The sequence below is a fragment of the Homo sapiens genome, chromosome 7, assembly GCF_000001405.40.
Source record: "Homo sapiens chromosome 7, GRCh38.p14 Primary Assembly".
Classification (NCBI taxonomy): Eukaryota; Metazoa; Chordata; class Mammalia; order Primates; family Hominidae; genus Homo; species Homo sapiens.
Genome location: NC_000007.14, coordinates 10663681 through 10685253, shown reverse-complemented (window position 1 = coordinate 10685253; position 21573 = coordinate 10663681). Strand labels below are relative to the sequence as shown.

General features: G+C 37.7%; 3 long non-coding RNA genes across 3 annotated transcripts in view, besides 1 other annotated feature; 2 read left to right on the top strand and 1 right to left on the bottom strand.

Moving 5' to 3' along the window:
• MGC4859 (uncharacterized LOC79150) overlaps positions 1–21573 on the top strand; it is a 330125-nt gene that overhangs the window by 94691 nt on the left and 213861 nt on the right. The gene's annotated exons all lie outside the window — the stretch shown is intronic.
• LOC124900231 (uncharacterized) overlaps positions 1–21573 on the top strand; it is a 40219-nt gene that overhangs the window by 18302 nt on the left and 344 nt on the right. The window lies entirely within an intron of this gene.
• Positions 7275–7475: a silencer, noted in NCBI's record as "peak6385 fragment used in MPRA reporter construct". NCBI's record gives its function as "represses an SCP1 promoter by STARR-seq MPRAs in K562 erythroleukemia cells {active_cell/tissue: K562}" and the evidence as "EXISTENCE:reporter gene assay evidence [ECO:0000049][PMID:32103011]".
• Positions 9863–21573, bottom strand: part of LOC107986766 (uncharacterized) — a 35048-nt gene continuing 23337 nt past the window's right edge. The window contains exon 4 of the long non-coding RNA XR_001745090.2: positions 9863–9958. This is a non-coding gene — a long non-coding RNA (uncharacterized LOC107986766). The remainder of the gene's footprint in view (positions 9959–21573) is intronic.

The window sequence follows — 21573 nt, the reverse complement described above, 5'->3', positions numbered from 1 at the left end:
CACTATTTTTGTGCTGGTTGGCCTCCTGCCAGGAGGTGGCACTTTCCTGAGAGCATCAGCTGTGGTAGCATGGGGAGGAACAGGTGGTAGGTGGGGCCCTAGAACTCCCAAGAGTATATGCTCTTTTTCTTCAGTTATCAGGGAGGGTAGGGAAGGACCACTGGGTCAGGGCAGGGCTAGGTGTGTCTGAGCTCACACTTTCCTTGGGGCAGGTTTTGCTGAGGCTGCTGTGGGGGATGGGGGTGAGGTTCCCAAGTTAGTGGAGTTATGTTCCCAGGAGGATGATGGCTGTCTCTACTGTGTCATGCATGTTGTCAGAGAAGTCGGGGAAAGCTGGCAGTCACAGGCCTCACCCATCTCCTATGCAATCTGAAGGGACAGTCTCACTCCTACCAGGAACGCCCCCTGCCAACAGCATTGAATCTGTTTTCAGGCAGTGGGCAAGCAAGGCTGAGAACTTGCCCCAGGCTACCCGCCTCCCAGCTGTGAAAGAAAGTATGGCTTTCCTTTTTCCCCAACCTGTGGAGTTTGCACACGGGATTCATGCCCTCCCCCAAGTTCTGGCTAGGAGACTTCTCGATCAGTTCAAATTGTTACAAAGTTCAGCTGGAGATTTCCTTCTTCCTGTGTCCTTTTTCCAATGCCTCTGGCTGCCCTCCTGAAGGATCCCTGTGAGGCCAGGTAGGAATGGCTTGCTAGGAGACCCAGCAAGCTCACAGGGCTTTTCCCACTGCTTCTTCTATTCCTGTATTTCGCTTGGCTGTCTAAATTGACTCAGCTCCTGCTAAGGTCAGAATCTTCTCCTGTAATCTAGACCAGTTTCCCCAGTGGGGCTGTGTGTTTGGGGACAGATGATCTCCCTTTTCCACTTCCACAGTTTGAAAGTGGAGTCCTTCAGAGGGTCTCTGGGTCTGTGGGTCCTCTTGGGTTTCCTGGTTTATTCCTGCAGTTGTTCTAGAGCAAAAATTTACAGTGTGAGCCTCCACATGCTTCTCTGTCTGTTGGAGCTGCAATCTAGTCCTGCCTCCCATCCACCATGATCCTCTGTGATCTAAGCTTCCAATTTCCTTGGTGCACATTAGTTTTCTTGTGATGAGATCAGGGTCTTTTTGCCAAAGATAGAAATATAACAGAGTCAACCTACTGTTTCTTTTATAATCCAATTAGCAAGAAGGTAATTGTGAATGAAAACCAGTAAAAAGAAGAGTTACCAAAGACATTACACACTTCTTTTTTTTTCTGATAATTTAGATGTATTTTTTAGTTGTGATGATAATTCTTACTGAATATTATTTACTAAGACTGTTATACATGTTCATAGAGTTAAACTTAGCTTGACAATCTACAAATTAACTGATGGAGCTAAAGTATAAATTGTAATTCAGTGATTGTAGACATTTGTGAGTTTTTTTTTTCCTTTAGCAAATTCCTTTCCACTTGAAGGTTAAAGTAGAGCACAGATAACAACAAGGAAGGTACAAAAAAAATTAACAGAAGCTTGAGAAAATATTTTGGGATTAAGCAAGATGAAGCAGGATAATATTCAAGAACAGAACTTTGTAAACTATAAAGCATCACATAAATATTTATTGTAAGAAAGTATAAAAGAGAAATTCCTTGTGTGATCATTTATTATTTGCATGACTCTGAGGCAGTCAGGAATGATACTCTTTAGTAAAAGTGATACCTTTTTGATGTAGAGGCCATACAGATGGTGATTAGAAGTTGACATGATTGTTACTGATTTTATTGCTGTGTAAATATTAATAAAATTTTTGGCATACTTGTAAGCCAGCTATTCCATCACACAAACTGAATGCACTTTATAGAACATCACAAGAGTACTGAACCAGGTACTGAAAATAAGTCAGTTATAATAGAAACCGACGCTATATTTCTGCCTTTTAATAGTTTGCAATTTAAGAAGAGAAAGCAGAAACAAAGCCCACAAAATGAGTATTAGAAGTACATATACTAACAATCACATAGTCAACTCTTGCTATTTAAAATTATACATTGAATTCTGTAAAAATAATTGTTTAAAACGTCTCCTTACTGGCACTGTAGCCATCCCCAATGTCAATACTAATCTGACTGTCTCTGTATTCAATTCATGGTCCCTACATTATGTCAGATTTCCTTATCAATCTCTTTTTTCTCCGTACAGATTATTATGTCTACCCTGAGGATGCTATCATTCAATCTTAATGTTTTACTCCTGAGTACCTGTAGTTGAATGTTGCAGTGATTTCAGAAGGAATTAGCTTATTAGGATTTGGGAACGATAAAATACCTTCTAGACCAGTAAAGCAGAAGTTTTGTGTCTGTTTATTTTGTCTTTTACTTGCTGGTTTTGTTACCAAGTTTATTTAGAGTTGTAGCTTAAAAACTACAGCATTTCTTGAAATAAATTATTGTATCTTATTTACAGTTTATACACAATCACAAAAAATTCAATGGCAGATTGTTGATTTCAGGAATAAATTTTAAAAGCTAATATTACCTCATTTTGATGAGTTTGCTTCCCTGTGTGTTTATATTTTAATATGCTTATAATTGGGTTGATTTGCTAAGCTGGAATTCCCTTTATTTTCTGTTAAAGATTATGATAAATGAGGTTTAAATCTTTCTAAAATTACAGAATATTCTTTCTCCCTAGGTTCCTTACTCCAGAATAAGCTGATTTTTTTCTCTCACTTTTGATGGTCCCTAGAAAATTATTATGCCAAATGAAAAGTGACTTTTTCTTTCCAAGTGAAAGGGGAAAATACAATAGTGTTATGGCTATGAAGAAGTGGGGTGTTTTAAAAACAGTTTTGGAGGAGACAAGTCTGTATTCTTCAACACTGAGAGCTGAGGGATTGCCAGCTGAAGTTTGTTTGATTGATCTGCCTAACACAAAAAATATGTTTTCTGACAAAGTGTTAATAAACTCTCTCCAGCAGTTGTAGGCTCCTTTCAAGATTCTGCCGTTTGTTTTTGAAGTAGGAAAATTTACAGAGAACTATTATAAGGTTCTAATTGAATTTCACAGAAATAGCCCTGGCATGACCCAAAATGGAAGGAAAAAAACCCAGCCCACAAAACCCCACACCATAAAGCAACTCTCTGCAGAATCATTGTTTAAGGACATGAAGTGGAAAAGAGAGGCCCAACTCTCAAATAGTTAGCCTCGGTTAATGAAGACTTTTAAGATATGGCAAGTTGATGTTGATAACTTCTTTGGGACATAGGGAGATGATGAAAAAGATTGGCAGCTATAAAAGAGAAGTGTTTATTAAAACACTTTTTAAATAGCCTGGGGATATAATAAAAAGCCATCTTTAAAGGAATTTATTAAAATAAAACCTAGATGGAATTGATAATTTCACCACTTGCAGCTTTCACAGAACTTTCTTGGCTTTCGTGAAAGCTTTTATAGACTTCATGGAAAGCTTAACATATAGTATCTAGATTTTACACTCTTTATTTTGGTGAATCATATTAAAAGAGGTTTATGGTTCATACTAACAGGAAAGTTTCCATATTTAAGCAAACAATGATGCTTGTAAAACACTTTTCTTCTCAACATGGCCAGTGATTAAGGGGTGGATACATAAACACCTTATCCTACAGATAGTGAAGTCATTTTTCTTGTGAGTTTATTACTTTATAGAATGCTTCCCATTTATTGTCTCTTACCTTCAAAGTAAGTCAATGGGGTATGGCAAGCAGGTAATGGGATTCTTAATTTTAATATGGAGAAAATGAGGCTAAGAGGTGAAGAGATTTGCACAAGGTCACACAGAGTTACAAAGGTCACACTATATTTAAGAGGGAGAATGGGAATATAAACTCAATATTTGAACTATAAGGTCAAAACTGTTTCTCTTACCTTATAGGAGTGTCATGAGGGTCAAATGAAATAATGTACCTGGCCCTTAGGCCAGGCTCTTTCACAAGCTAAGTGCTCAGTGCATGTTAGCTGTTATTATCACTACTATTCTTATTGGACAATGACTCTTTGCATATGAAAAACACCATTCAAATCTCTACACATTTAACTGGAAAGTTGCAGTGTAAATAATGCCCTCTATAGGTAATAGAACCACTGACAGTATTTTGGGTTCCTCAGCAAAGAAATTTGACAAATAACCAGGTCTATTTCTCTCTAAGCTTCTCTGTAATACTTTATTGGCTTTGTTAGCTTAAAATCAGACATTTGAAGAGAGGATATTCAGTATACCTCAAAATCCTCAAACATTTGACTTCTCTCAGGCTCTTCTTTTTCAGATCTGTCATCAGTCAAGGGTTTGAGGGCTTTGGGGAGGTATACAACTTGGTCTTCACAGTACTATGGGATTGTTGCATTGTCACAGTTGTGTCTCCCCGATGGTGTCTGTGAGTGCTCACCTGCTGTGTGCTATTTGCTATACAATATATGATTGTCTGGAGTTTTGAGTCCTGGTAAAGAGGCTGACATTTGTTTAGTCCCTGGACTTACAGATAGAGCATGAATTGAACAATACTATTCTGTGACAATAAATGGTATGGATGATAGTGCTAGGCTGATGTTTGCCTTGTAAACTGACCTGTGCTGAGCCATGGATGTATCTGACATGAGCCAAGCCTCAGTTCTTGAGGAACCAAAGGTGCAGAAGAGGCAGCCTTTGCTAGTTCATTAGCACAGATGATTACTATAAACAAAAAGTCTGATTGCTAAAATTCATTTACATATGCTTTAGGTCGAAATGAGACATCATGACCAAAAAAAAAAAATTCCATCAATTTCCTGTTTTTATATCATGTTGAAATAATAGGCAATGACTACTATTTTTGATTATCAGACTTGAGAAAACTACTACAACAAACAACTAGTGACTAGATCTCCTATTTTTTCCCCTGACTTCAATTTGAGCATTGGAATACTGATGATAGGGCCTAGTAGACACAGCTGTCATCAGGGCCCCAGGAATCCTGAGAGGGAAGAACAGAAAAGATGAGGCCAGGAGGGGCCTATTTGAAATATAAAAGCAGAATGGCACAGATCATCATAGAAACAGAAAAGAACAAAAGAGGACAGGAACGCAGGCTTTTCCTTCTTTGATTTTATAAAATTATATATATAAAATTATACCAATTTCACTATCATGACCTCAAAATGAAATCCAAGCTTTCCTTAGGGAGCAGAGACAGGCCAGAAAAAAAATTATTTGGGAGCTTCAGCCCTATTAACTCAAATTAGGATGAAGAAAGGAAAGTGCTTGGCATTACTTTTTACAAGAACAAACATTACTTCACCCAGAAAGACAATTGTTTCAAGTCATTTCATTGTTCTAAGCCTTGGCATGTATTTCTTTGTTCTAAAATATTGAAAATATATATTATTGAAAATGAATATTTCTAGTCAAAAGTAGAATTTAATGTGTAAGCTGAGGATGTGTAAGCACTGGTGGGAAATCTCCTTTGACCAATAATATATTTGTTTCCTTATTAGAGGAGAAGTCAATTTTAGCTCTTCTCATATTTTAAAACATATTTTCTGACTCTGTTAATGGATTCAGATTTCAGAGGCATTGTATAATTTGTGGAGCTGGTATGAATAGTAGGGATATCCATATCCAGTAACTGTTGAAGTGGTTCAGTCATGGCTCTGGGAAAGTCACCCTGGCTGTAGAGTGTTTTCATAAAGATTTGATCCTCATCAAACACTTTTAATGAAAATCTTTTCCAAATCATCACTTATCACCAAGTATTTACTTAGTGTCCGTTTGCAAATGAATCTGCAGTGGATAGTTTTCAAACAGGTTAAGCAGTCGTGGTCCGTACTGCCTACTGGAAATTTACAGGAAATAAGAGCCTGGGATAAAAGAAAAAAACACCCCAAGATAATTTTTATGCAAAGACAAATGATACCTTAATTGGCAGCCTTAAGATTGGATCTGAAATGCTGTGGCCTTTAAAATTTAAATGGCCTATGCAGACTCAGGTGCTGCAGACACACTAATAGAGACAATCTTGTATTCTCAGATAAATGCTTGGGAGCCTCTTGCCTGCTGTCATTTAAGGTTATGTGGCAAGTAGGGCAAGAAAACCAAAAGAAACCATGAAGCCTGCACATTCTAGGACTTGCAGGATGTTATTTCTGTTAGCTGTGGCAGGCATACTCATGATAAGCATTTCTAAATAAAGATTTTAGCCATAGAGATGATGAACTGATGAGAGCAGGCTCTAAATCTTTTGCCTTGTTCCTAAAATGTGTGGGCATCTGGTGCTAAAGAATCAGTTCCACTCATCACCTCCCACCTTGGCTATTTAGTGAGAAAAATGTGGTTTTGGTAATGGGATAAGCATGGCAGAATCTAAGTTTTATAGAGCATTCAATTAATGATTTCGGAGTCCTCTTTAAGAAAAAGAGTCTGAAGTATGTTGCTATTGCAAAATTTAAAAAAGAAATATGTGAAAACATTTTAGGGCCCCTCCCAGGCTTTGATCAGGACATAAGTGAAGAAAGGACACTGATATTCCAATTTTATTATCTCTATGGTAAAGCTGCCCCTGCTTCTGGTATGTTTGGGAAAGAGAAGGTCTGAAGACAATTTTTCTACTAGTCAACATTTTAGGGTCTCAGGTTAAGCTGTTGATTCATTCATTCATTTAATTTTTACTAAATTCTAACATGAAATGAATCACTATTTTGTCATCACAGATTGTGAGTCTTGAAGGATGGGTTACCTTTTGTTTTCTGAAAGTAGTCCTTTGCAATAGCAATAGTGGAATGGAAATAAAATGGTTTAGAAAAAAAATGAAATATCCCTTGATTGTAAGTTTCCTATAGATCATAATCAGCTATCTATAATTTGCTGGGATAAAAGTGAATTACATAGTTTCCAAATTCTCAGTTTCTCACTATTTTAATGAGGTTGGAATAGATCAGGCTAGTTTAGAACTCAAAAGTAGGTCTTATTTGTATACAGGCATGACAATGGTTATGATAATGCCATAATAATTAGGATAGCAAAAGTTAATGAGATATGTATAAAAAGCCTGTGAAGTCTCCTGCTGCCAAGACACTTTGGTGTCTTCTGAGATCCTCTTTACTAGGCTGGTGCTCCCATCTCCAGCTTCTGTGGTTGCTGAAAGCTCACAGGGGCACCTTTTCTGGAGGTTGGTTCTAGGCAGACAGGAGGTGCTTGGGAGGCCCACAGCCAATGACTGACTACTGTGGAGGAGTGGCAGCTCAGCCTCCTTCACTCTGGTTGGTACAACCTGTGAGATTCAATTCATGGTCCCAAGCTCCCTGGAGGACCAATCTGAGGCCAGGCTTCTGAAGCAACCTCATTATCCACCCTCTTTCCCTAATCTGCCTGCTTCCTCCAGCTTCTTAAAACCACTTCCTCAATAGACGATGTGCCCAAGAATACCCATATTAGTCTCTGCTTCTAGGGAATTTGACCTAGGACAGACTCTTAGCAAAGTCAGACTAGCTTGAGTGTTTTGTATGCTCAAAACACTTGAATGTTAGTGACAAAATATAGGAGAAAGGATAGAAGTAGGGAATATAGGAGAAAGGATAGAAGTAGGGAATACAATTCTATAATCTTAGTATCTAATGCCTGACTAGCAATCAACTAAGTGAACTTTAAAATTAAATATAGAATAATTTTATAAGTAGTTGGTATCAAACCCCCACAATGCCCTTCTCCTAAGAAATGTATTTTGCTAGTCATTTTGTAACCAAGCCACACTTTCTGGCATGGTTTGACATTTGCCCCCTGGTCAGGGTCAGGCATTCTGTGATACCAGACAGCCAATTTCAAGCATTGCTGGAGCCACAAAATGAACCATTCATATGACAACAGAAGAGGCAGGTGATGCAGGATGCTCGGGCTTCTCTTGGCAATTGCGCAGCAGGGCCAAAGCCAGATGCCAAGCTGCTTTTCCATCTGCTGTTGACTCCACTCTGAATTAGCTAAACAGGGCTCAACACTTGTTGATTAAAAACAGTTACAGCTTTGAAATGAGCAATTGGTCTTTTGTGAAGGCCAGACATGAACTCATAATAACCAGATAACTGATATTAATATATTTCTGATGTTCAACAGTCTTTCTCAGTATCTGCAGAACAGTTTGAACAGGTTTGGTAGTTGTGATTTATACTCCTAAAAGTCCATTTGGAGGCAAGTTTTGGAAGACCTTGCCTTGAAGTAGCAGATGTTTTGAAAAGATAGTTAAATTGACCTTTTCTCCTCCATTTCATATTTGAAAATGAAACTACTCAGTGAATTGGGCTAGCGTGCCTGGAATGTTGAGTGTCAGGAGGGAGATGCAGGAGATGAGGTGGATAGAAATGGGGCAAGATAATGAAGGACTTTGCAAGTATTTTGGACCTTAAAATAAACAACCAAATTTTAAAAATGAACCAAAGATCTGAACAGACCTCCTACCAAAGAAGATATACAGATGGCAAGCGAGTTCATGAAATGATATTCAACCTCATGTGTCATCAAGGACTGCAAATTAAAAAGAAACATATGACCACTACATACCTGTTAGGATGCCCAAAATTTAGTATGCTGACACTAAATTCTGCTGAAATCATGGAGCAACAGGAACTCTCATTTATTGCTATTGCAAATGCAAAATGGTGCACCACTTTGGAAGACAGTTTTGTAGTTTCTTTCAAAACTAAACATACTGTTACCCCGGTTGTGCTTCTTGATGTATATCCAAAGGAATTTAAAACTTATGTCTACACAAAAACATAAACACAAATGTTTATAGTCACTCTACTCATAATTGCCAAATGCAGGATAAAATATCTGGCAGTTTTAATTGTTCGAAGTGTAAACTATAATCCTTAAAGCTGGATCAATGTGAAAATATCAAAGCTAAATAACATATTTAGTCAAGGAGTTATATAAAAGCTTTCTTATATCAAAAGTAAATAACATTTAGTCAAGAAGTTATATAAATTGGATTTGAACTTCCAAATGAGAAGTCCATTAATAATAATTAATCTCATTTAGAAACTGTGTTAATTTACAGTGTTTTCTTATTTATAGCTAATTATTTCCCAATGATAGTTTTAAATAGCTTTTGTTAAACCATATTTAATCTACATATAACTAGGAAAGATTTTGTAGAAGACAAGCAAATGATATATTCCTATGAATCTTAAATATTTTTGGTATATCAAGTAATTCTCAGTGTATCATAAATACCTTTTTAACTAAGGCAAAAATTAAAAACATTCTCAGAATCCAAGTATAAAGGATGGTCTAAATTTTTTTTGAAATAATTGAAAGTAGTAGGAGTGCATAAAACAGGTCTGAGTCAACACCTAAGTCATAGTAAATAGGTTTCACTTCATTTGTTATTTAAGAACAATTAGTCAACAGTAGTTAATACATTGCTATATGTTTATGTCACAGATCAGGAGTTGATAACCATTTAGAAGTATTAAGCCAACGTTGCATGTGAGATAAGGTGGAGGTTGCTGATCTCTGAATGGTTGGGTGATTGTGGTATACCCCTATCTCAGGTGATGTATGGAGGCCATACTGACTGTAACGACAGTGAACAGGGAGGTATTATCATACTGCCTTTTGTCAGGAACTTTCAGTAAATGAATGAATCCCAAGTGACAAGCAAGAATTTTTGGGTCGATGATGGATCCACATCACCAAAAAAATATCTTTGAAGGGAATCTCTATTATTTATGCTTCTCCCACACCCTTTCTAATATTAGTTTTCTCCTTTTTGCTTGAGAAACCCATGCCATGTAGTTTAGTTGGTGCTGACTCCCCCAGGGTCACGTGGGTGGAAAGTCAGAATATCTCTGCCCCCACTCTACAACAATCACCCCACTCTACCACAGTACCTCATACAGAAATGGGTTCTAACCCTAACTGTGCCAGAATCCTGTCAGGACCATTCCCAGGCACTGCAAGTTGAAGTAGGTTGTAGCCGGTCTTATCTGTAACCAAAGTAGAATTTTCAAAGGTTGAAATAATTTTTTACTCTTATGCTTAATAATTTAGCCTCCGTTTACAATAAAATATAGGATGTTTCCTTACAATATGAAAATCATCAGAATTGTTTATGTTATGAGACCTTAAGAGAATACTTTCTGCCTCATGCAGGGAGTGAAAGAAATAATAGGTTTCTCCTCAAAAGAGCTAAAAATAATACAGCATAGGCATTTATCCCTAATGATTAGTTTTCTTGATGTGAGAACTGAACTGAAAGAACTCAGAGGCAGCATCCATTCATTGTGAAAAATGTTTTCCTCTCACCAGTCCCTTTACAGATGTCTCTTGGTAGGTGCTGGAATTGAACTTTCTGTGATTGAAAATGGCCACTTTTTCTCTCTCTTTAACAAAGGACCATTAGAATGTCAGAAAGTTCTACCTAAGGAATAAAAAACTCTAACATCCAATGTACTCTGCACAGTGAACTCTAGATTATTCCACTTGTAAGTAGACTTAAAATGGTTAGACATTGAAATATTAATTCCCTGTGTTGCTGTAGACAGGACAATGTCTGCTTTTGTTATTTTGGATGTAACAAAGTCTCTGATGCCCATTTGGTAAGAAAGACTTTTTCTGACAACACTCAAGATAAAAGGTGCTCTTTTTTCTCAAAAAGGAAAAAAAACCCAATAACTCCCCAAATAAATAAACAGAACCCAAACAGAATGGGAAATAAAATGTATACAGTGATAAAGTACCTATTTCTAGCTCGAAATATTGTCTGGTTGATGGTTTTTATGTCTGGGGAATTGAATAGTTTCACTTGGTCTTGCAGCAATTAGGAATGTGCTGGAGTTGTATCGGTTACTGCACATTTTGGTCAAGCAGGTGTCAAATATCCAGGGCCTTTAGCATAGTTGGAGGTAGGTGGAAGAATAGGCAGGTATTGAGAATCCTAAAGCAAAATCTTTACTCCAACCAGGTGATCACATTGTCAGCAAGGGGCATTGTGGAGCCTTGAGAACCTAGGAAGCTTATAGTTCCTGCTTTGCTTCCCTTTACTTCATGCAGTATGTTCTTGTATTCTTCATTTCCAGTAAAGTTACTTGTTTTCTTCACTTTATGTCAATCATTCCAGCATTACCTTTGTGACAACAGTCCAGTAGGCAGGTAACACTGTAAGAAGACATTTGTCAGGAAGCGCTTTAGAAAGCCATGAACTTCCTTAGTCTCAGGAGTTGTATAGATCTGTGCTATAGGCATTGGGAACAGTCATGGAAAGGGCATAGAGATATGATTAAGGACACTCTCTTAAATGGCTTTGTTGATCTATCACAAAAAGAGGGACAGGCTCTTCAGGATTTAGTAAAGAAGGCTTGCTGTAAGGAAGTCACCATTCTGACACTTTGTATGGGATATGAACCAATTTAGGACACTGGGGAAACATTAATGATGAAAAGGCTAGACTGGGGGAGATTAGAGTGAGATTTTCTTTATTGGATTTCACTAATTCCAAGATGCACGTTTTTCATACTATAACATTTCTAAAAATGAGATGTATCTTATTAATGAGACTGTGTCATCTTTAATTGGCAGTATTTTTTCATTCTAAGTAGAACATAAATACATCTTGTAACCAGTGTCATCTTAGAAATATGGTAACTACCTAACAAAACAGGTTTAGAATGACACCAACTTCACATTAACTTAAGACATAAAACCAAAGTCATATCTTATGTGAAATGTTTCATAAGCTACATATAGCATGTTATAGACTGGAGGTGGAATAATTCTTGAATAATAATTTCTGTTCTTTCTACAATGCCTTAAACACAGAGATGTGCTCTTGATATTGCTTTTCCTCTCATCAGGCTGCACTCTTTATAACATGCTGATGATCACGTGTTTCATTCACCAGTGAATTTCCAGCACTGATGTTACATGAAGTTATCCATTGCTAGGGAATCCTCTTTAAATCATCTTTGATTTAAAGTTATCCATTTCTAGGGGATCCTATTTAAATCATCTTTGATACCACAACTTTACAAGAAGTTATCCATTGCCAAGGGATCCTATTTAAATCATCTTTGATACCACACAAGAGATACTGACCTTGTGCTATAACTACTTTCCCTTGTATAAAGAACATTCCTTAGGTCAGTTTTCATAATTATTGTTAAAGAAAAGAATGTACACATTTTTAGCTGAGACAGAGCTTTAAGTTTAATTTTATAAAATAGTTACCTTAAAATGAATAATAGGAAGAAAAATTATTTTTAATTAAGGATAGAAGAGTTATAAAGGAATGTAGGGAATATTATATATGCTGGAATGCAATCTTAATAAAATAAAGATGTTTGAAAATTTCAGTGAGTTAAATGACACAGCCATCTAATGACTGAAAAAGGGTTTTTATAAATAATAATGGCTTTTGCTATTAAATATGTGTGGTATATAATACATAATTAGGGGAGCAGTGGCAAGATGGCCGACTAGAAGCAACCATGTTTGGAGGCTTCCATTGAAATAAACGATAATAAGCATGTGAATTCTTCACCAGCAACCAAGGTATCCCGGTTCTCTCAGCAAAATTGATGAGAAGGCTGGCGTGACCCACAGAAGGAAGAGCAGTGTGGTGCGGCAGCCTACCTGAGAGCCACAGGGGAAGAGGAACCCCCTCCCCCCAGCCAAGGAAGGCATTGAGTGCGCTACCCAGTTGGGGTGACTGTGCATTTTCCATGGAACTGTGCAATCCATGGATCAGAAGATCCCACTCACGAACTCACACCACTGGGGCCTAGCGTCCCAACCCTGGAATGCACGGATTCTTACACCCTCTCAGCTGGAATCTGCTTAAGCCTACCAAACTCCTGGGGGGAGAGGAGACCAGCACCAGCTGCCGCTGCCTGCTGTCTAAGTCATTTGAGCTCCTTGAGGGAGGGGCAGCAGCCAGCACTGGGACTCACAACGGCCTAACATGCTAATCTCCCTGGGCAGGGGAAAGGCAGCACCCATTTCCATAGCTCCAGGCTGTGCTTTTCCCCTGCTGGGGCCAGGGAGGCTGGAAGTCTTGGTCCCAAGACTTGTCCCCACAGCCTAATACACTGGCTGTGGCAATCTGTGGCCAGAGTGCCTCTTCAGGCCTAACCCTGACACATCCTTCGTCAGTGGGTGGAGCTTTCCCTCAGGATCTTCAATAACTCCAGCCAGAGGCTCAGGGACAAAATTCAGATCTCCCTGGGCCTGAGCCCCTAGGGGGAGGGGTGGCTGCAGTCTCTGTGGACCAGCAGACTTAGCCTCTCCTCCTGGTAGTTCTGAGGAATCTGGGCAGCCCAGACAAGTGGGTTCCCCCTAGCAAAACACACACCCCAATCCACCAAGGGACAAAGTGCTTTGTTAAATGGGTCCTGCTCCCTGTGCCACTCAACTGGACGGACCCTCCAACAGGGGTTGTCAGATGCCCTTTATAGGAACGATCCTACTGGCATCAGATTTGTGCCCCTCGAAATCAGAGGTCCCAAAAGGAGCAGGCACCCATCTTTGCTGCTCTCCAGCCTCCTTGAGTGACATCTCTGGGCATGGGAGCGAATCAGATGAATAGGGCCTGAAGTGAACCCCCAACAAACTGCAGCAGCCCAACAGAAGAGGGACCTGAATATTGAAAGAAAAACAAACAAGCAGAAGGCAACAACAAGCATCAACAACAACAAAAAGGCCCCTGCAAAAACCCCATCCAAGGATCAGCAGCCTCAAAGACTGAAACTAGACAAACTCATGAAGATGAGAAAGAAACAATGAAAAAGTGCTGAAAACTCAAAAGGCCAGAGTGATTCTTCTCCAAAAGATCACAACGTTTCTCTATCAAGGGCACAGAACTTGACTGAGGATCAAATGGACGAACTGACAGAATTAGGCTTCAGAAGATGCATGTTCTAACACAATGCAAAGAAGCTAAGAAACTTGATAAAAAATTAGAGGAATTGCTAACTAGAATAGCCAGTTCAGAGAGGAACATAAACGACCTGATGGAGCTGAAAAACACAGCATGAGAACTTCGTGAAACCTACACAAGTATCAACAGCCTAATTGACCAAGTGGAAGAAAGGATATCAGAGTTTGAAGACCACCTTGCTGAAATAAGGCATGCAGGCAAGAATAGATGAAAAAGAATGAAAAGGAATGAACAAAGCCTCCAAGAAACATGGGACTTCATAAAAAGACCAAACCTATGATTAATTGGAGTACCTGAAAGAGATGGGGAGAATGGAAACAAGCTGGAAAACACGCTTCAGGATATTATGCAGCAGAACTTTCCCAACCTACCAAGACAGGCCAACATGCAAATTCAGGAAATACAGAGAACACCATTAAGATACTCTACAAGAAGATCAACCCCAAGACACATAATCATCAGATTCTCCAAAGTTTAAATGAAGGAAAAACTTTTAAGAGCAGCCAGAGAGAAAGGCCAGGTTACCTACAAAGGCAAGCCCATCAAGACTAACAGTGGACCTCTCAGCAGAAACTCCACAAGCCAGAAGAGATCTGGGGCCAATATTCAACATTCTTAAAGAAAAGAATTTTCAACCCAGAATCTCATATCCAGCCAAACTCAGCTTCATAAGTGAAGGAGAAATAAATTCCTTTCCAGACAACCAAATGCTGAGGGATTTTGTTACCGCCAGGTCTGCCCTGCAAGAGCTCCTAAAAGAAGAAGTAAATAGGGAAAGGAAAAACCAGAACCAGCCACCACAAAAACACACCAAAATGTAAAGACCAATAACACTACAAAGAAACTGCATCAACTAGTATGCAAAATAATCAAATAGCATCATGAGACAGGATCAAATTCACACAATACTAACCTTAAATGTAAATGGGCTAAATGTTCCATTAAAAGACACAGACTGGCAAATTGGATAAGGAGTCAAAACTCATTGCTGTCTTCAGGAGACCATTCTTACATGCAAACACCCACAGGCTCAAAATAAAGAGATGGAGGAAAATTTACCAAGCAAATGGAAAGTGAAAAAATCAGGGGTTGAAATCCTAGTCTCTGACAAAACAGACTTTAAACAAACAAAGATCAAAAAAGACAAAGAAGGCCATTACATAATGGTAAAGGGAACAATTCAACAAGAAGTTAACTATTCTGATTATATATGCACCCAATACAGGAGCACCCAGATTCATAAAACAAGTTCTTAGAGACCTGCAAAGAAACTTAGACTCTCACACAATAATAGTGAGAGAGTTTAACACCCTGCTGTCACTATTAGATCAACGAGACAGAAAGTTAACAAGGATATTCAGGACTTGAACTCAGCTCTGGATCAAGTGAAACTTGTAGGTGTCTACAGAACTCTCTACCCCAAATCAACAGAATATACATTCTCCTCAGTGCCACAAGGCACTTAGTCTAAAACTGACCACATAATTGGAAGTAAAACACTCCTTAGCAAATGCAAAAGAACTGAAATCATAACAGTCTCTCAGACCACAGTGCAAATTAGAACTCAGAAATAAGAAACTCACTCAAAACCATACAATTTCATCAAAATTGAACAACCTGCCCCCGAATGACTGCTGGGTAAATAATGAAATTAAGGCAGAAATCCAACAGTTCTTTTAAACCACGAGAACAAAGAGACAACATACCAGAATCTCTGGGACACAGCTAAAGCAATGTTAAGAGGAAAATTTATAGCACTAAATGCCCACATCAGAAAGCTAGAAAGATCTCAGATCGACACCCTGACATCACAATTAAAACAGCTAGACAGGCAAGAGCAAACTAATCCAAAAGCAAGCAGAAGACAAGAAATAACTAAGATCAGAGAAGAATTGAAGGAGATGGAGACACAAAAAACCCTCCAAAAAATCAACAAATCCAGGAGCTGGCTTTTTGAAAAAAATTTATAAAATAGACTGCTAACTAGACTATATAGGAATAAGAGAGAAGAATCAAATAGACACAATAAAAATGATAAAGGGGATATTACCATTGACCCTACAAAAATATAAACTACATCAGAGAATACTATAAACACCTCTGCAAATAAACTAGAAAATCTAGAAGAAATGGATAAATTCCTGGATGCATACAACCTACCAAGATTAAACCAGGAAGAAGTTGAATCCCTGAATAGACCAATAACAAGTTTTGAAATTGAGACAGTAATCAATAGCCTACCAACCAAAAAAAGCCCAGGACTGGATGGGTTCACAGCCGAATTCTATCAGAGATACAAAGAGGAGCTGGTTCCATTTCTTCTGAAACTATCCAAGCAATTGAAAAGGCGGGACTCCTCCCTAACTCATTTTATGAAGCCAGCACCATCCTGATACCAAAGCCGAGAAGAGATGCAACAAAAAAAGAAAATTTCAGGCCAATATCCCTGATGAACAGCGATGTGAAAATCCTTAATAAAATACTGGAAAACCAAATCCAGCAGCACATCAAAAAATTTATTCAGCATGATCAAGTCGCTACATCCCTTGGATGGAAGGCTGGTTCAACATATGAAAATCAATAAATGTAATCCATCACATAAACAGAACCAAAGACAAAAAACACATGATTATCTTAATAGATGCAGAAAAGGCCTTTGATAAAATTCAACATCCCTTCATGTTAAAAACTCTCAATAAACTAGGTATTGATGGAACATGTCTCAAAATAATAAGAGCCATTTATGACAAACCCACAGCCAATATCATACTGAATGGGCAAAAACTGGAAGCATTCCCTTTGAAAACTGGTACGAGACAAGGATGCCCTCTCTCACCACTTCTATTCAACATAGCATTGGAAGTTCTGGCCAGGGCAATCAGGCAAGAGAAATAAATAAAGCGTGTTCAGACAGGAAGAGAGGAAGGCGAGTTGTCTCTGTTTGCAGACGACATGATTTTATATTCAGAAAACCCCATCATCTCAGCCCAAAAACTTCTTGAACTGATAAGCAACTTTAGCAAAGTCTCAGGATACAAAATCAATCTGCAAAAATTGCAAGCATTCCTTTACAATAACAATAGGCAAACAGAGAGCCAAATTAGGAATGAACTCTCATCCACAATAACTACAAAAAGAATAAAATACCTAGGAATAAAGCTAACAAGGGATGTGATGGACCTCTTCAAGGAGAATTAGAAACCACTGCTCAAGGAAATAAGAGAGGACACAAACAAATGGAAAAACATTTCATTCTCATGGATAGGGAGAATCGATGTTGTGAAAACAGCCATACTGCCCAAAGTAATTTATAGATTCAATGTTATCTTCATCAAGCAACCATTGACTTTCTTCACAGAATTGGAAAAAACTATTTTAAACTTCAATATGGAATCAAAGAAGACCCTGCATAGCCAAGACAATCCTAAGCAAAAACAAAGTTGGAGGCATCCTGCTACCTGACTTCAAGCTATACTACAAGACTACAGTAACCAAAACAGCATGGTACTGGTACCAAAACAGACATGTTGACAAATGGAGCAGAACAGAGACCTCAGAAATGACACCACACATCTACAACCATCTGATCTTTAACAAACCTGACAAAAACAAGCAATGGGGAAAGGATCTCCTATTCAGTAAATGCTGCTGGGAAAACTGGCTAGTCATATGCAGAAAACTGAAACTGAACCCCTTCCTTACACCTTACACAAAACTAATTCAAGATGGATTAAAGACTTAAAAGGTAAAATCCATAAGCATAAAAACCCTAGAAGAAAACCTAGGCAATACCATTCAAGACACAGGCAAAGACTTCATGACAAAAACGTTAAAAGCAATTGCTACAAATCCAAAGTTGACAAATGGAACCTAATTAAACCAAAGAGCTTCTGCACAGCAAAAGAAACTATCATCAGAGTGAACAGGCAACCTACAGAATGGGAGAACATTTTTGCAATCAAGCCATCTGACAAAGGTCTAATATCCAGAATTTACAAGGAACTTAAACGTATTTACAAGAAAGAAACAACCCCATCAAAAAGTGTGCAAAGGATATGAACAGACACTTCTCAAAAGAAGACATTTATGTAGCCAACAAACATAAAAAAAGCTCAATGCCACTGATCATCAGAGAAATGCAAATCAAAACCACAATGAGATACCATCTCATGCCAGTCAGAAAGGCAATTATTAAAAAGTCAGGAAACAATAGATGCTGGTGAGGCTGTGGAGGAATAGGAATGCTTTTACACTGTTGGTGGGAATGTAAATTAGTTCAACCATCGTGAAAGACAGTGTGGCAATTCCTCAGGGATCTAGAACCAGAAACACCATTTGACCCAGCAATCCCATTACTGGTATATAACCAAAGGATTATAAATCATTCTACTATAAAGACACATGCATACTTATGTTTATTGCAGCACTATTTACAATAGCAAAGAGATGGAACCAACCCAAATGCATATAAATGAAACACTGGATAAAGAAAATGCTGTACATATACACCATGGAATACTATGCAGTCATAAAAGGAATGAGATCATGTCCTTTGCAGGGACATGCATGAAGTTGGAAACCATCATCCTTAGCAAACTAACATAGGAACAGAAAACCAAATACTGCATGTTCTCACTTATAAGTGGGAGTTGAACATTGAGGACACATGGACACAGAGAGAGGAACAACACATACCAGGGCCTATTGGGGGGTGGGGATAAGGGGAGGGAACTTAGAGAATGGGTCAATAAGTGCAGCAAACCACCATGGCGTATGTATACCTATGCAACAAACCTGCACACTCTGCACATGTATCCTGTTTTTGTTTTTGTTTTTTTAGAAGAAGTAGAGAAAAAGAAAAAACTTAAATGAAATATATAAGAAAGGAAAAAACCACATAATTGTGTACTATATATACTATCTACCTACTTAATATTAAAAACTATCATTTTAGAAATAAATTATATAGTTATATAACAGTTAATCTTATTTATTCCTGCTTCTAATAATTTCCTAAAACATAATTTAGGTGATATTGCATTAATTAAAATACATATATGCTGTATATATTGTATCTTTATACTTTGTGTTACAATATGAGTCATTAAGCTATTATGGCCACATAAGGATCTGACATTTACTTTTCACTTTTTATCACTTCATTGTTAGATGTTGATCTCTGTAGCATATTAGTTTTAATGAAAAAGAAAGATAATATAATAAAATATGGGAACTTACTATTTGCCTTAGAAACTATAAATATTAATCTAAGAATATAAAGTTAGGCTTCTCATGAAGACTGCTCTAATAATGGAAATGTTTTGGTATTATGAAAAAGTTATAAGAAAGCTACTTTTAGATCAATGATAGGGCAATGCCAGCTATTCTTGATTATTTGGAGGCATTTTTCTCTTTCTCATTGTCAAATGTATTCCATGATCTCACTCTCACTTTTTCCTGATCATCTTTTTCTATTTCTTTTTCTCCCACTTCACTCCTTCCTGTCACCACAGTCTGTCATTCCTTGGTCTCCACATAGAATCCAGTCTGTCAGTATGAATAGACAAAGACCATAAGCTTCACAAGGTTAGAGACTGTGTCTGTTGACTCTCCACTTCATCCTGGTGCCTATCACATTGCTCTCACATGGCAGGCACCCCAAATTGCTTGATGACTGAAAGAATTCTGAATCTGTTATAGATGTGAAGTAGACACTGTATGAATTTTAGGCTATGTCCAAAGAGTGTTTATTACGTTAAATAGTGCTCATTTGGTTGTTGCTTTATTACCATTGTTATGCATTGTTTTATTAGATTTGAGTTGGTTCCTTGAAAGAGGGATAATGTATTCTTTTAATTCCTCTAGCTAAAACTAATTAACTTTTGCACTCCCTTTCTACAAAGGTATGAGTATTATATGATAGCTTGAGACCCATGAATAGTTTTACAAGTTAGAGAGGACTCCCAGGCACTAGTGTAGAAATTTGACACTCATGCAAGCTGAATTTTCAAAGTGTCACTGAGTATCTGATGATCATGTTGAAATCCTAGGCAGGGATTAGAAATGATTGTTTTGCCCATGGCCATAGGATTTGCTTTCTTTAACAGAAGATAATTCCTGAGAAAAGTCTCACAAATTCTGAAATGAAAATAATAATAATTAATAATAATAATAAAGCCAGAACTTTACTAATGACATATTTACCTTTTCATGTCTTGTGTATTACAGAAAATTGTTCCTGTTATGTGTATTGACTTAGTAAATGGGAACCTATTATTATAACATGTAATTTATAACATGCTAAAGGGTTTGTTTAAGATAATAAAATAAAAATAGAACATTTAAAAAATTTTCAATTATATTGGTATTTCTTTGACATTGTCTTTCTTATCAATAAGAAAAATCTTCCCAGTGTTTTTAAAAAATATATATTAAAAAATATATATATATGGCTGGGCACGGTGGCTCATGCCTGTAATCCCAGCGCTTTGGGAGGCTGAGGCGGGCAGATCAGGAGGTCAGGAGATCGAGACCATCCTGGCTACCACAGTGAAACCCCGTCTCAACTAAAAATACAAAAAATTAGCCGGGCGTGGTGGCGGGCGCCTGTAGTCCCAGATACTCAGGAGGCTGAGGCAGGAGAATGGCATGAATCCGGGAGGCGGAGCTTGCAGTGAGCCGAGATGGCGCCACTGCACTCCAGCCTGGGCGACAGAGCGAGACTCCGTCTCAAAAACAAACAAACAAACTCTATCTATCTATCTGTCTGTCTGTCTGTCCGTCTGTCTGTCTATCTATCTCAAATTGTACTGCTAAAAGGGTACCTAAACTAGCGCTAATAAAAGTGATTTTAGGCAGAATATGCTCCTTTTCATGGCTCTAACAGAAGATTTGTGCTTATATCAGCTCCATGGGGACATGAAGTGAGAAGAGAATCAGAAGGAACAACTCCTTTGGCAGACTCAGGTGTCACAGACGATTTCTGGTAGTATTACTGGCTAGTGTTTTAAGCATGCGTATTCTTGTGTTGCTTCCTAGGTCCTCACAGTTCTAGCTAGGGGAACTTTCTGTACCTTAAACTCTTCATCCTTACAGTGGGAATAATTAAAAATAACTATAATAATAATAACTTATTATTATATAGGATTGTTATGAGGCTGAAAGGAGTTAATATATATAAAACCTTTCCACCAATGCCTGTAACATATTAAGTACTCAGTTAGTACCTGGAACTTAATTTGTATCAATAAGTCTTAGCTAATTATCACCAGATAATTATCATCATCATTATAATTACACAAAATACTTTCTACTGGTGTTTCTAATAGTCTTTAGTTGCTTTCCAAAAATAAAAAATAAAACTAGTTCCTTAAAACCAAATCATCGTCTTGGTATTCTTTCATTTAAAAAAAAAATATCATGTGACTTATTATATGACTCATTTATTTATGTTGGGAGATCTATTTAGGCTAAATGTATTTATTTTAATATTCATGAATGAAAGTGATTTGTTTTAACTGCTCACTGCAACGCAAAAAAGCTCCTGAACAATTAACCTAGATTCATATAATTTGCAGTTTTTTGCTTTTTCTAATATTAATCTTTTTGCTGAACCTACAAAAATGTTCTTACTGTTGTGTGTTTCACTTTCATTTCATTGTCTTTTTG